The 12,805-nt window shown below is 43.1% G+C and overlaps 1 pseudogene, besides 1 other annotated feature; it reads right to left on the reverse strand.

The window, feature by feature from the left end:
* GPR143YP (G protein-coupled receptor 143 Y-linked pseudogene) lies at nt 2,938-9,045 on the reverse strand (annotated as a pseudogene).
* Nucleotides 9,777-10,976: an enhancer, noted in NCBI's record as "MED14-independent group 3 enhancer chrY:6975278-6976477 (GRCh37/hg19 assembly coordinates)". NCBI's record gives its function as "activates an origin of replication core promoter dependent on BRD2, BRD4, P300/CBP and CDK7 cofactors, and independent of MED14, by STARR-seq in HCT116 cells {active_cell/tissue: HCT116}" and the evidence as "EXISTENCE:reporter gene assay evidence [ECO:0000049][PMID:35650434]".

Here is a 12,805-nt window from a genome sequence, read left to right on the forward strand (position 1 = left end):
AGGCTGCAACACTGGGCTCATGAAGATCATCGATATGGCAGTGGGTGTTGCCCACACCCTGAAGGCTGGACTGGCTCTGGAGGCACACTCAACGCTGCCTCCCAGAGTGGGCTTGCCTGCTGCCGTGGCCTCTCCAGAAGTGCTTTTCTGCAGCTCATTCCCTTGGACGTGAGCTGGTAACTTGAGAGAGGTGCCTAATTGGCTCTGCCAGGTCACATGCCTTGCTCTAGCTGCAAGGGAGGCTATAAAAGCCTCTTTGCTTTTGAACTGGGGGGTAGGGCTGTGCCTCATCAGGTAGGAAGATATCCCCAAATAGAGGAAGGCCTTCTGATGTTGGGAGCTCAGGGGAGTGGAGACAGAATGCCCCTACTGAGATGAAGAATGCACATTTCCCTAGAAAATCTAAAATGTGTTCACATTTCCTTGATACTTTTGGTCAAGGTGTGTGAAGTCTAGCCCAGGCTGACCCTTAGGAGGGTGAAGAAACAGTTATGGAGAGAGTTGGGGCAGCCCTGGGCAGGCACTACCTTATAGTGTGCTCAGAATCCATCTGCAACCCTGTGACTCCAGAAGTACACATGAAGAACCTTCCTGCGCTCGATATTCCTGATACAAAGGGAGGTGTCACATGGCAGAGCTGTCTGCAGTATCCTGAGAAAATATTCTGTCTTGCTTTTCTGTATACCTACTGGTGGTTTATAATCCCCATGCATATTGCAACATTTTTGTAAAATGTAAAACAATAATACTATACATACACACAAGGGAACTTCAAAAAGTTCAGAACATACATATGAAAAAGCAGTGGATTTCACAACACTTTTTTCATCAAAATAAGCTCATGCTAACTTGTTACAACATGTTTGAATAGTATCTAGTTTGAAGCACTATAAAGTGTGAGACATCAGTTTGATTAAAGCAGAGCAACATTTTGTTAAAATTGAAACAATAACATCAAAGTTAAGGTGAAGTCTGGGGGGAAGAATTGTGAAATCATTGATGTTTTATAAAAAGTTTATGAGCACAGTGTCCCAAAGAGATAAGCAGTTTACAAATGGATAACTTGTTTTAATAAGGAATGATGATATTGAAGATGAAGCCTGCAGTGGCAGACCATGCACATCAATTTGTAAGAAACAAATTCTTGTTCATGCCCTAATTGATGAGGACCAGTGATTAACAGCAGAAACAACAGCTAGCACCACAGACATCTCAACTGGTTCAACTTACACAATCTGACTGGAACATTCAAGTTGTGCAAACTTTACACTCAGGTTCCAAAACTGTTGTGCCCACATTAGTTGCAGACAAGAGTTAAGCTTTCAGTGGAAATTTGAAACAAGTGGGATGAAGATCCTGAGGGCTTTCTACAAAGAATTGTAACAGGAGACCAAACACAGCTTTATCAATACAATCCTGAAGGCAAAGCACACTCAAAGGAATGGCTACCAAGTGAAAGCATAAGTAGAGTGGTCAGTAGGTCATGACAACAGTTTTCTTTCTTTCTTTTCTTTTCTTTTCTTTTCCTTTTTTTTTTTTCATGCTTAGGGCATTTTCCTTGCTGATTTTCTGGAGGGCCAAAGAATGATAGCATCTGCTTATACAAAAATGGTTTTGAGAACGTCAAAGCTTTAGCAGAAAAATGCCCAGAAGTTTCACCAGGGTGTCCTTTTCCAGCACAACAAGGTTCCTGCTCATTAATCTCATCAAACAAGGGCAGTCTTGCAAAAGTTTCCATGGGAAATCATTGGGCATCCACCGTACAGTCCTGATGTGGTTCCTTCTGACTTCTCTTGTTTCTTAATCTTTAAGGGGCATCTTTTTTGTATTTTTTTTTCAGTTGTTAGTGTAGAAAAGACTGCATTGACATGGTTAAGTGCTGAGGACCTTCAGTTCTTTAGGGTTGGATTAAATGGCTGCTGTCGTTTACATAATGTGTTGAACTTGATGAGCTTATCAACGTTGAGAAATGAAGTTTCTATTTTTTATTTCCATTTTTATTCTATTTTTTTAATGGACTTTTTGAAGTTCCTTTCCTTAACTGATGGAAAGATGAGAACACAGGCAATTTTCTGGGCATTAATCAGGTTCCAGTTAGACTATGTTGTTATTCAGGACAGCATTGGGACCAAAAGGCTAAATTCATGATGAAAGATACACTCCCAGCTGAGCAAGGTGGCTCATGCATGTAATCGCAGCACTTTGGGAGGTCAAGGTGGGCAGATCACCTGAGATCAGGAGTTTGAGACCAGCCTGACCAACATGGCAAAAACTCATTTGTACAAAACATACAAAAAGTAGCCAGACATAGTGGTGTATGCCTGTAGTCCCAGCTACTCGGGAGGTTGAGGCAGGTGAATAGCTTGAAACTGGGAAGCAGAAGCTGCAGTGAGCCAAGATCTCACCACTGTACTCCAGCCTGGGCAATGAAGCAATATCTTGTCTCAAAAAAAAGAAAGCCACTCTCCCTTCTTTGCCCTCTAGTGGGTGTTAGCAGCCCAGGCTTTGCTGTTGCTCCACTGGGGCCCTGGTTCCCTATTTATCTTGCTGCTTCTCTACCTTGCTGCTGTTTGGCGACATCAGTAAGCTTAGTCGAGGGCATCTGCTCTAGAAAACACATGTTTACTGCACTTTTTCTATGTTTTGATATACAAATACCATTGTGTTACAGTTGCTGACAGTATTCGGTACAGTCACATGTTTCAGTATTCAGTACAGTCAGGTTTGCAGCCTAGGAGAAATAGGCACTACCATCTAGCCTAGTTGTGCTGTAGACTGTGCCATCTAGGTTTGTGTAAGTACACTGTGTGGTATCATACAACATTATATATCACATAATGACACACTTCTCAAAACTCATCCTTAGTATTAAGCTATGCATATATTTTCTTTGGCTACAACAGTTGTTAAGACAGCATTCAAGTGAGGCTGAGAGCTCAGTCACAATTACTTTATTTAACTACTTTCCCAAGGACATGGATCTTGCACTCAGCTTTATAGCCAGCCTCAGAAAACTTCCTAGTGACAACTAATAGGCTAGAGAAGCAGCAGAGTGGTCCGGAGGGGGCTCTTCCATTACCACATGCATGTGCATGAAACATTTCTCTTATCCTAGAAGCTCTTCGAGAAGATCATGTAACTGGTGATGAGGGCAATGTCTGGGGGCTGCTACACTTTGGCAGTGCAGTGATGAAAAAATGAGAACAAAGTTCTAAAGAATGACAATAGAAGAGTCTGAGGAATATGGGGGTTGGACCCTTGGCACATCCACTTCACAGGTTTCTGTGGGTTTGGCAAGCAGGGTCACCCTTATTTTTGTTGCAGGATTCACTTGCAGTATGGATTTCAAATGTGCTGGCATCAGAACCTGAAGAGGAAAAAACAAAAATTGTGAGTGTCCATCTCTTTGCCAGTTTGTCCTCAGCTTCGGAAAATGCTCTCAGTACTCACTGCACTGAGTTTTTCATGTGGCAACTTTGGTCAAAATTGCAGCATTCATTTCATCTATGAGAAAAAAAAAACCTACACCATCTTTCCATCTACATTTTATTAAATCATTACAATAGATGAAACAAGTCCTACAGAATTTTCTAGGCCAGTTAATGGCTGATCATGGCACAGATGTGCAGGCAAAAAAACTGTTGGTTTAGGAAAGTTTTAGAGACCCAGGACGTGTGCTCTCTAATTTAGGAGCAGAGAGCGCTATTGTGACAGCTGGTACAGCTTCTACTAGGGATGGTAACTCAGGCAACAGGGACCCTATGGTTGGCTGGCTACCTACACTCAACTCCAGGAAGTGCTGGAAGGGAGGGAGACCACAACTGTGAAAAACTACACCACCTCCCAATGTGTTTTCATGGGCAATGACACATGTTTATAGCAAGCAGCTCCTCCCCATCAGCATCTACTCATGGAAAACTGTCATCTCAAGTCCCAAATTGGATACACATCCAGCCTCATTTAAATACACAGTACTACATGCCTGGTAACCCTTTGTGAAATTGAGCTCATTCCGATCATGACCCTACATAAGATGATAAAGTGACAAATAATGTTTTTGTAAATACAGGAATGTATTTGTCCCAATGTGCTCAGCATTTCCTTCATGAGACATTTTTATCAGGTGTGGATTTCAGGATGGTTTTGCTCTCGCATGCAGTATTTTCTAGAAAATAATTAAGAGTCTAATAATTGCTCACATTTTTCTCTTTACTCCCCTGCTAAGAAGCTCAAAGCCAAACTACCATCCATTTTAAATAGTTATCTGGGGCTAATTCTAGCTGGCTTTCTATTTCATTATCATTTTCCTTTAGTTCCTGTTTCATTTATTAATCAATTTCCCCATGTTGTTCTTCCAGAATATGACATGGTTTAAAAGGATACAGAACAAAAGGAAAAAAATGTGAGCATCAGTCAGCAGTGTGAGAGCTAATGTGAATCCCATCAAAAGAATAATCTTGGGCACTGGTCATCATTCCAGCAATACACCTTCTTTCTGTTAGACCCTTTGAAACCACTGTCAGAATTATTCTTCCGATCCCCAAATATACTAGAATACTTGCTCCATCCCAGGTTGCAAGCTGTGTGTGGGGAATACAGAGGTGGAAAACATGAAGGAGGGTTGCCTTTCCAACCACAGACAGGGCAAATGACCCCAAAAAGCCTCCAAAGAGCCTCCAAAGCCCTCCACCCTTGGGGCTTGCTGACAATCACAACCTCCTATGAGTCCCTCTCTGTTTCCTCACACCCTTAGGCATACTGCTTCTCTCCCTCCCACTCCAGGCTTGGTCCTGCCACTGGGCCTCTGCAACTCTATTTTTCTGTCTGTAAGGCTCTTCTGATTTTCTTGTGGTTCCTACACTTGATTCGGGTCTCAATGCTAATGTTACCTCATGCTCAGGGAGACTCTGGGACAACCTCTCTAAAATCATGCTCCCAACCGTCCCTGATTTTTCTTCACAGCACTTCCCATTACCTGGATGGAATATCATATCATTATTTGTGTTTTTCATTCTCTGTCTCTGCCACTACAGTGGAGAGTCTCAGTGGACAGGGAATGTGTCATAGTGACTGTACCCGATGCCCCAGATAACACCTGGTATATAGAGGGTGCTCAATCAACATGGGGAATGGGTCAGTACAGTCATGTTAAGTGCCTGACAGCAATGGGATGCAGCACTACTACTTTGGAGCACTCATTAAGATATGAGTACAAAGAAGGGTAGTAACAAGCTCAATTTTAAAAGAGATACATGCAGAGTTTGGGAGAATATTTTAGGGGAAAAAAAGAACATGAGAGTTATATGGAAAAGAGGCAGTCAGAAGTTGTGGCACTATGAGAGATGTGGTTGTAAAGAACTAAGAAAGCCTGAGCCAGGCTTGGTCCTGCCACTTTAAGGCAATAACAATATTGCCTTTTACCAAGAAGGCAAGTGTGGTTCACACCTCTAACTAGTGCTTTAGGAGGCTGAAACAGGAAGATCGCTTGAGGCCAGAAATGCAGGACCAGCCTGGGAAATACAGAAAGACCCCATCTCTATGATAAAAATTTTAAAACAAGCCAGTTGTAGCAGTGTACACCTGTGGTCCCAGTAACTTGGCAAGCTGAAGTGAAAGGATTGCTTGAACCTAGGAGTTCAAGGCTGCAATGAACCATAATCACACCACTTCACTCCAGCCTAGGCAACAGTGAGATCCTACCTCAAAAAAAAGGCAACTGCAATACTGTTGTGTCTCTGAAACATACGCATGCACTATGGGCTGTGGGAGAACATGGCACTCAGATCTTCCTCCCAGGGTTGGATTAAGGTGAATCTGGAGGAATCTTGGTCTGAGTTAACTCAGAGAAAGTGTGATGAGCTGCTCAAACAGTGGGTAAAGAGATTGAGCAATGGGGGAGGACTGGCCATGGATGACACAGCCAGATTTTGAGGAGAGCCTGGGTGGCTGACAAGGATGGTGGAGAGCTGGTTTTGCTAGGGTGGTAAACCTGCCTTTCCTGGAGCCAAGACACCAGCTGGGAAAACTTCTAAAGAAGCCTTGCAGTTCTGGAGCAGCATTCCTGCTAGAGGGGGCTGGTGGCACATCAAAAAGATTTGATTCTGGCCGGGCACATTATGTTCACGCCTGTAATCCCAGCACTTTGGGAGGCTGAGGCGGGCGGATCACGAGGTCAGGAGATTGAGACCATGCTGGCTAACACAGTGAAATCCCTTCTCTACTAAAAATACAAAAAATTAGCCGGGCGTGGTGGCAGGCGCCTGTAGTCCCAGCTACTCACTAGGCTGAGGCGGGAGAATGGCGTGAATCCGGGAGGCGGAGCTTGCACTGAGCCCAGATCGCGCCACTGCATTCCAGCCTGGGCGACAGGGCCAGACTCTGTCTCAAAAAAAAAAAAAACAAAAAAGACTTGATTCTCACCAGGTCACCCACTGTTTATGAGGATGTCATGGATTCAAGCAAACTTGTGTGTGATTTCTGCGGTTCTTTTCAAACAGACTCTGGGCTGGGGTGTCATATGGTGGCTCTTTTTATTATTTTTTAGAAGTATTTATTATTTGAATTTTCTAGTCCAGAAATTATATTGTTAAAGTTTCATTTTCTCTATTATAAAAATAATTCATACTTGTTAAAATGTGGAAAATAATTTTGCCTTATAGAAAAGTCAGGAAATATAAAAAACTTTAGAGAAGTATGAATGACTCATGGTCCCTCCACCCAGAGACAACCACTGTTAACATCTTACCATATATAAGTCATTTCATTTTATTTGATGAGTTTGAATAACTGAGATTTTGTTTTTTTAAAAAAAGCTGTATTTAGTATACTATATTTAAATGTATGTACAAGGAGGTTAGTCCAAAGAAACACAGTAATTTTTTATGTCTAGTGATAGGGAACTTTAAACAATTGTTTTTGTTGTTGTTGTTGTTTCACGTGGTCTCACTCTGTTCCCCAGGCTTAGTCTTGGCTTCTTTACTCACTGCAACTTCTGCCTCTAGGGTTCAAGTGATTGTTGTGAGTCAGCCTCCCAAGTAGCTGAGATTACAAACATGCACCTCCAGGCCTGGCTAACTTTTGTGTTTTTAGTAGAGACAGAGTTGTACCATGTTGTCCAGGCTGGTCTCAAACTCCTAGCCTCATGTGATCCACCCACTTTGGCCTCCCAGAAGTGCTGGGATTACAGGCATGAGCCACAGCGCCTGGATAAAACAATGTTTTTAAAAACTTGTACAATCAGGCCTGGCACAGTGACTCAAGCCTGTAATCCCAGCACTTTGGGAGGTCAAGGTGGAAGGCTCGCTTGAACCCACGAGTTTGAAACTAGCCTAAGACACATGGCAAGAGCCTATGTCTACAAAAAAAGTATATACAAAAATTAGCCAGGTGTGGTGGTACATGCCTATAATCTCAGCTACTTGGGAGGCTGAGGTGGGAGCATGAACTGGGCCCAGGAGGTGGAGGCTGCCACGAGCTATGATTGTCCCACTGCATTCCAGCCTGGGCAACAGAGTGAGATGCTGTTTTGAAAGGAAAAAGGAAAAAAAAGTTCTACAGTCAACAGATGATATTCAAAGGACCTCTTAGTTAAAGCAAGCTTTCTTCTTCTAATTCCAATACCACTGAGAGATTTTTCGCATCTCTTGATTGTTACAGTAGGTTTTCAGACACATATGAGTATGACAGGAAAAGGTCTCTGTCCCCAGGAATGTGAGGCGACCATCAAGTTATTCTCAGGTGGTTGGTAAACTGTCTCTCTAACATAATTATTGGTTTCAGCTGCTACCAGCAGAAGGCAGTCTCCAAATAGATAGAAACACCGGAAACTGTCGATCAGCAGCTTCCCCATAAAATCTCAGGGGTTGGGAAAGTGGGCTCAAGTATGCACAATGTGAGGCAAGATGGAAGAATCTTTCTGGCATATGACCTTCCTCTAGGAACACTGAGCTGGTGAGCATGCACAAAACTCCAGGAAACACTGCACATGTGGCCTCTCCCAAATGGTAGCAGGCCACTATTGCATGCAGACAGCCTGCCCCAAGAGAATAATCATGGAAGAAGGGATGCAAGACCCCAGAAACCGTGGCAACATATAAGATCCGACATCAAGGTCTAAACAGTGCACTTGACTCTCTCAAGTTGCCTGCTTGGCCCTCTTCCAAGTGTACTTAACTCCCTTTCATTCCTCTTCTAAAGCTTTTTAATAAACTTTCCCTCTTGCTCTGAAACATGGCTCAGTCTGTCACTCTCCCTTATGCCTCTCAGTGGAATTCTTTCTTTTAAGGAGGCAAGAAGTGAGGATCTTTCAGACCTATGTGGATTCACCACTGCTAACATGAGGAGGTGGGCGGCTCACTCCAGGACTCATTTCCTAGAGGAAGAAGTAGGGGCTGGACTGCACTTCCCCAGCCACAGCCCAGGAGGCTTTTCCAAGCATGTTGTTAAGGACTCCATTCCTCTTAACCTTTTCTAACCATTGCCCTTGACTCATTTGCTATGCTCTGCTTCCTGTTTTCTTTCCTGAGAAAAGACATCAGCTAAATGCATTATGGACTAGAGCCTCTTCAGTCCTCACTCAGTTTTGGACTTCCCTCTTTTCTCTCCTCTCCTGTTCCTCACACACCTCCACGGAGCTCCAATGGCAGTCCTGCAGCAAACCCAGGAGGGTCCCAGCACTGAAATGAAAAGTCACTTAGTCCTGGTGCTGAGCTAACAAGCAATGGCACAGAACTTGTGCTGGCAGAGGGCTGCACATTTACATTTTATTTATTGAACCTGCTTGCTTTCTGCAGCTGCATTCTGTTGATGTCTCTGAAGGACGATGAATGAAGTCAATGGTTTCAGATAATTCCAGGAGGACATGTCACTGTCTGAGCCCAAGGCATAGCCACTCCCAGTGGCTGTGTACCCAGAGAGCCTCCCTACTATTTACTTGCAATCACTGTCTTTCTGAACAGGATGGGGTTGACCATGAGGACCAGCAGCAGGGGCAGGTACCTGGTAACACAGTGGGGGATGGAGTGGTCCAGGCCCAGCTTACACCTGAGAGAGGAAAACCAAATCATTCTTCTCAAAAACAAAGCTTTGGCCACTTACCTGGAAGCCAAGATAAGAGGATGAAAACAGAAAGGGAAATGCGTAAATCTGCTTCTGACTGCTCAAAGGAAATGAGAGTCATTTGTCATGTCTGGAACAAGCAGTTAATTGCAGGATAGTAAGGGAGATCAGCTATGTTTCTGTCTCAGAAATGGGATGTCCTCTAAGGTGTTCCAATGGAGAGAGCTTTTAAAGGTTCCTGCTGGGAAAAGGTGGAAAAGGAAATGACACTCTGGGATGGTGGATTCCCTCCACTGGGTCTCAGTGAAAAAACAAAGGCACTCCATTAAGTAGTTTGGTTTTGAGGGGTTACTACATGGCTTTGGGCAATAACACAAATAAGATACAGTCACTGGGCTTGAACAACCCAAAATATATCAGCTATGTATTTCAGAGAAAATGTATTCTCATGGTTATGGATAACAATAGTTTCAGAGATTCTTGTCAGGGAAGAGGACAATGATTTCTACTGATGGCTCATAGGAGTCACTGGTCATCACAGAACATGCTGGAGGGCCTCACAATCATGTTATTATTATAAAGTTTCGGTGCTGCAAAAGAAATAGCACTCAAATATAAGATTTTCTTTTTAATTCTCAGCAAGGCAAGGTACTTCTATAGAAGGGTGCACCCTTACAGATGGAGCAATGGTGAGCGCACACCTGGAAAAGGGAGGGGAAGGGGTTCTTATCCCTGAGGCCCATAGCCTCCTGCCGTGTCGTTTCCCTCTTGGCTAGGGTTAGACCGCACAGGTTAAACTAGTTCTGATTGACTAATTTAAAGAGAATGATGGGATGAGTGGTTTGGCGGGAAAAATGTCTATGAAATTAGTCAGGGTGGAGCAGGTAATCAGAATGAGTCAGGATGGAGAATGAGTTAGGGTGGAGAATGAGTCAGGGTGGAGCAGGTAATTGGAAAAGGTTGCATTACATGGAAGTTAAGTTCAAAAGTAGAAGGCAAAGAATTAAACACATTGACATATTCTTTGAAGATAAATTTAGAATTCAGAATTCGTATTTAACATTACCAAGGTAACAACCGTTAGCTGTGAAATGCTTAAGGTAGGAGAGAAACAAAATGGCACAGAGGAAAAGAGAACTGAAAGGTAAAGGGGTAGGATAAAAATAGGTGCTAAAGGAAATTTCTCAGTAAGAAGGCACCAAGGACTATAAAGCCCACTGCTGACGTCCCCACATTTAAAACAAAAGGTCAATTTCTTAGAAATTACATACTTAGTTTATCTTCCACTTTCCTTTTCCTGAAAACTAAAGTCTTTTAGCACAGGTACCACTCCTAGAATTTCTGGTAAACCAGCACCAGCCTGAGGATCACATTCTCATCAAAGGGTGGAAAGAAGGAAAACCCCAGCCAGCCTGGGAAGGAATCTACTTTGTGCTGCTAACCACGGAGACTCCTGTTCATACAGTGGAAGGGGATGGATTCATCACACCCGAGTCAAGAAAGCGCCACCCCCTCCAGAGTCGTGGGGTGTAGTCCCAGGGGAAAACCCTACCAAACTAAAGCTAAGAAAAATTTAACTCTTTCATCTATTCTATTTCTCTTTCTTCTTTGCTCTATTGCTGACCTAGTTATTAACATAACCTAGTCAATTTTGCCTCAAACTATTGCATTTAATGCTTGCCTTGTTATACCCTTGGGGACTTGCCAAGTCAGAGACAGCTCTCTACTTCAGAAAGGTATCTCTGTCCCTCCTGACTCTCCTCAGACCGAGCATTAGTGTATTGGGACCATTTAATCCAGAGAGATTTCAGTAAAGGCCTCAGTGTCAGCCAGGAGTCTTGCTCCCCCATGTAGAGCTTTTATGCCATAGTTGGTCCAATGATCTGTGGACCATTAAAGAGCAAGAATGGACTGCCCCAACCAGTTTTTGTAATTTCCTAAAACCATACATTCATTTTACTAGAGGAACAGCCCTCCCTAACCGTCAGCTAAACCAGTGTAATTCTATACAGGTTATTATCTCAAACCCTCAAAGTTCTTCCCCATTCCTAAGCCGGTTCCCTTCTTTAAGCTGGTTTTATGGTATGGGGGCTGAGATTCCAAGGGCAGACCTCGTTAGATTCTTTGAAATATGTTACTTTGATCCCCCACCACCTGAACCTTTCTCTAAGCCTTCTTTCAAAACCCCTCGTGATAGAAAAATTGCTCCTCCTCCATCTAATGACAAGACCAAGATAGCTATCATAAAATTTACAGACTTAAACTTTGGCAATTAAGACAGGATACCAAGATGCAAATGCCTAGTTGGGATGGATCCAATATTCCTTCTGCATGTTAAACAACAGCAATTGTTATGCTTGGGTGAATGGCAGGCCAGAGGCCCAGATTGTCCCCTTTCCCCTAGGGTGGTCCTCCAGTTGACTGGGTGTGGGCTGTATGGTAGCTCTTTTCCTGGATTCTACAGCCTGGAGTAATAAGTCATGCCAAGCTCTCTCTCACTGTATCCTGAAGTCTGGCACCCTGCAGGTCAGCCCCCAAGGGCCAACAAGCCTCCGTCTCCCAACACTAAGTTCATTTCGTGTCTCTCAGACAGGGAGGAAACTTTGTGTTACTTGGAGACCTGAAGGAATGCAGTGAGCTTAAGAATTTTCAAGAGCTTATCAATCAGTCAGCCCTTGTTCGTCCCTGAGCAGATGTTTGGTGGTATTGTAGTGGATTTTTACTGGACACTCTGCCAAATAACTAGATTGGCACTTGTGCTTTAGTCCAGTTGGCTATCCCTTTCACCCTGGCATTTCATCAACAAGAGGAAGGAAAGAATAAGACACTGTAAAGTGAGAGAAGCCCCTTATGGGTCCTTCGACTCTCATATCTATTTAGACACAATTAGGGTCCCATGGGGAATACCAGTCAATTTAAAGCCTGAAATCAAATAGCTGCAGGATTTGAGTCAATATTTTGCTAAGCGACAATTAATAAAAATATAGATTGGATAGACTACATCTACTACAAACCAACAGCGATTTATTAACTACACTAGAGATGCTGTTAAGGGAATAACTGAGCAATTAAGGGGTAATAGCCAGATGGCTTGGGAAAATAGGATAGCCTTAGACATGACATTAGCAGAAAGAGGAGGAGTTTTCATCATGATTAAAACTCAGTGTTGCACCTTCATCCCAAACAACATGGTCCCTCATGGAAGTATAACAAAGGCATTGCAAGGTCTAACTGCTCTGTCCAATGTGTTTGCCAAAAACTCAGGGGTAATTGACCCCTTTACAGAATGACTACAATAGTGATTCGGTACATGGAAAAAGGTAATATCCTTAATTCTTACTTCCCTCACAACCGTAATGGGTATACTTATTCTTGTCGGGTGCCGTGTCATATCATGCATCCATGGATTGGTGCAGAGGCTCAACACTTACTAAAACCTCCCCTAACTATCCTCTGCCTTATCCAGAGAAGCTGCTTCTTTTGGAAAACCAAGCAAAACAACTAAGCCAAGACATATTAAAAAGTTTGAAATGAAAGAGCTGTAAGGAAATGCAAAAGGAGGGATTGTTAGATACAAGTTCTAAATTTCTTTTCAAGGAATCAGTATGTCAGTAGGTTCAATTCTTTGTCTTCTATTTTTAAACTTAACTTCCTCATAAAGCCACCTTTGTCGATTAGCTGTTCCACTCTGACTCATTTCAATCACCTGCTCCACCCTGACTCATTCCAATTACCTGCTCCACCCTGA

The sequence above is a fragment of the Homo sapiens genome, chromosome Y, assembly GCF_000001405.40.
Source record: "Homo sapiens chromosome Y, GRCh38.p14 Primary Assembly".
NCBI classification, from domain to species: Eukaryota; Metazoa; Chordata; class Mammalia; order Primates; family Hominidae; genus Homo; species Homo sapiens.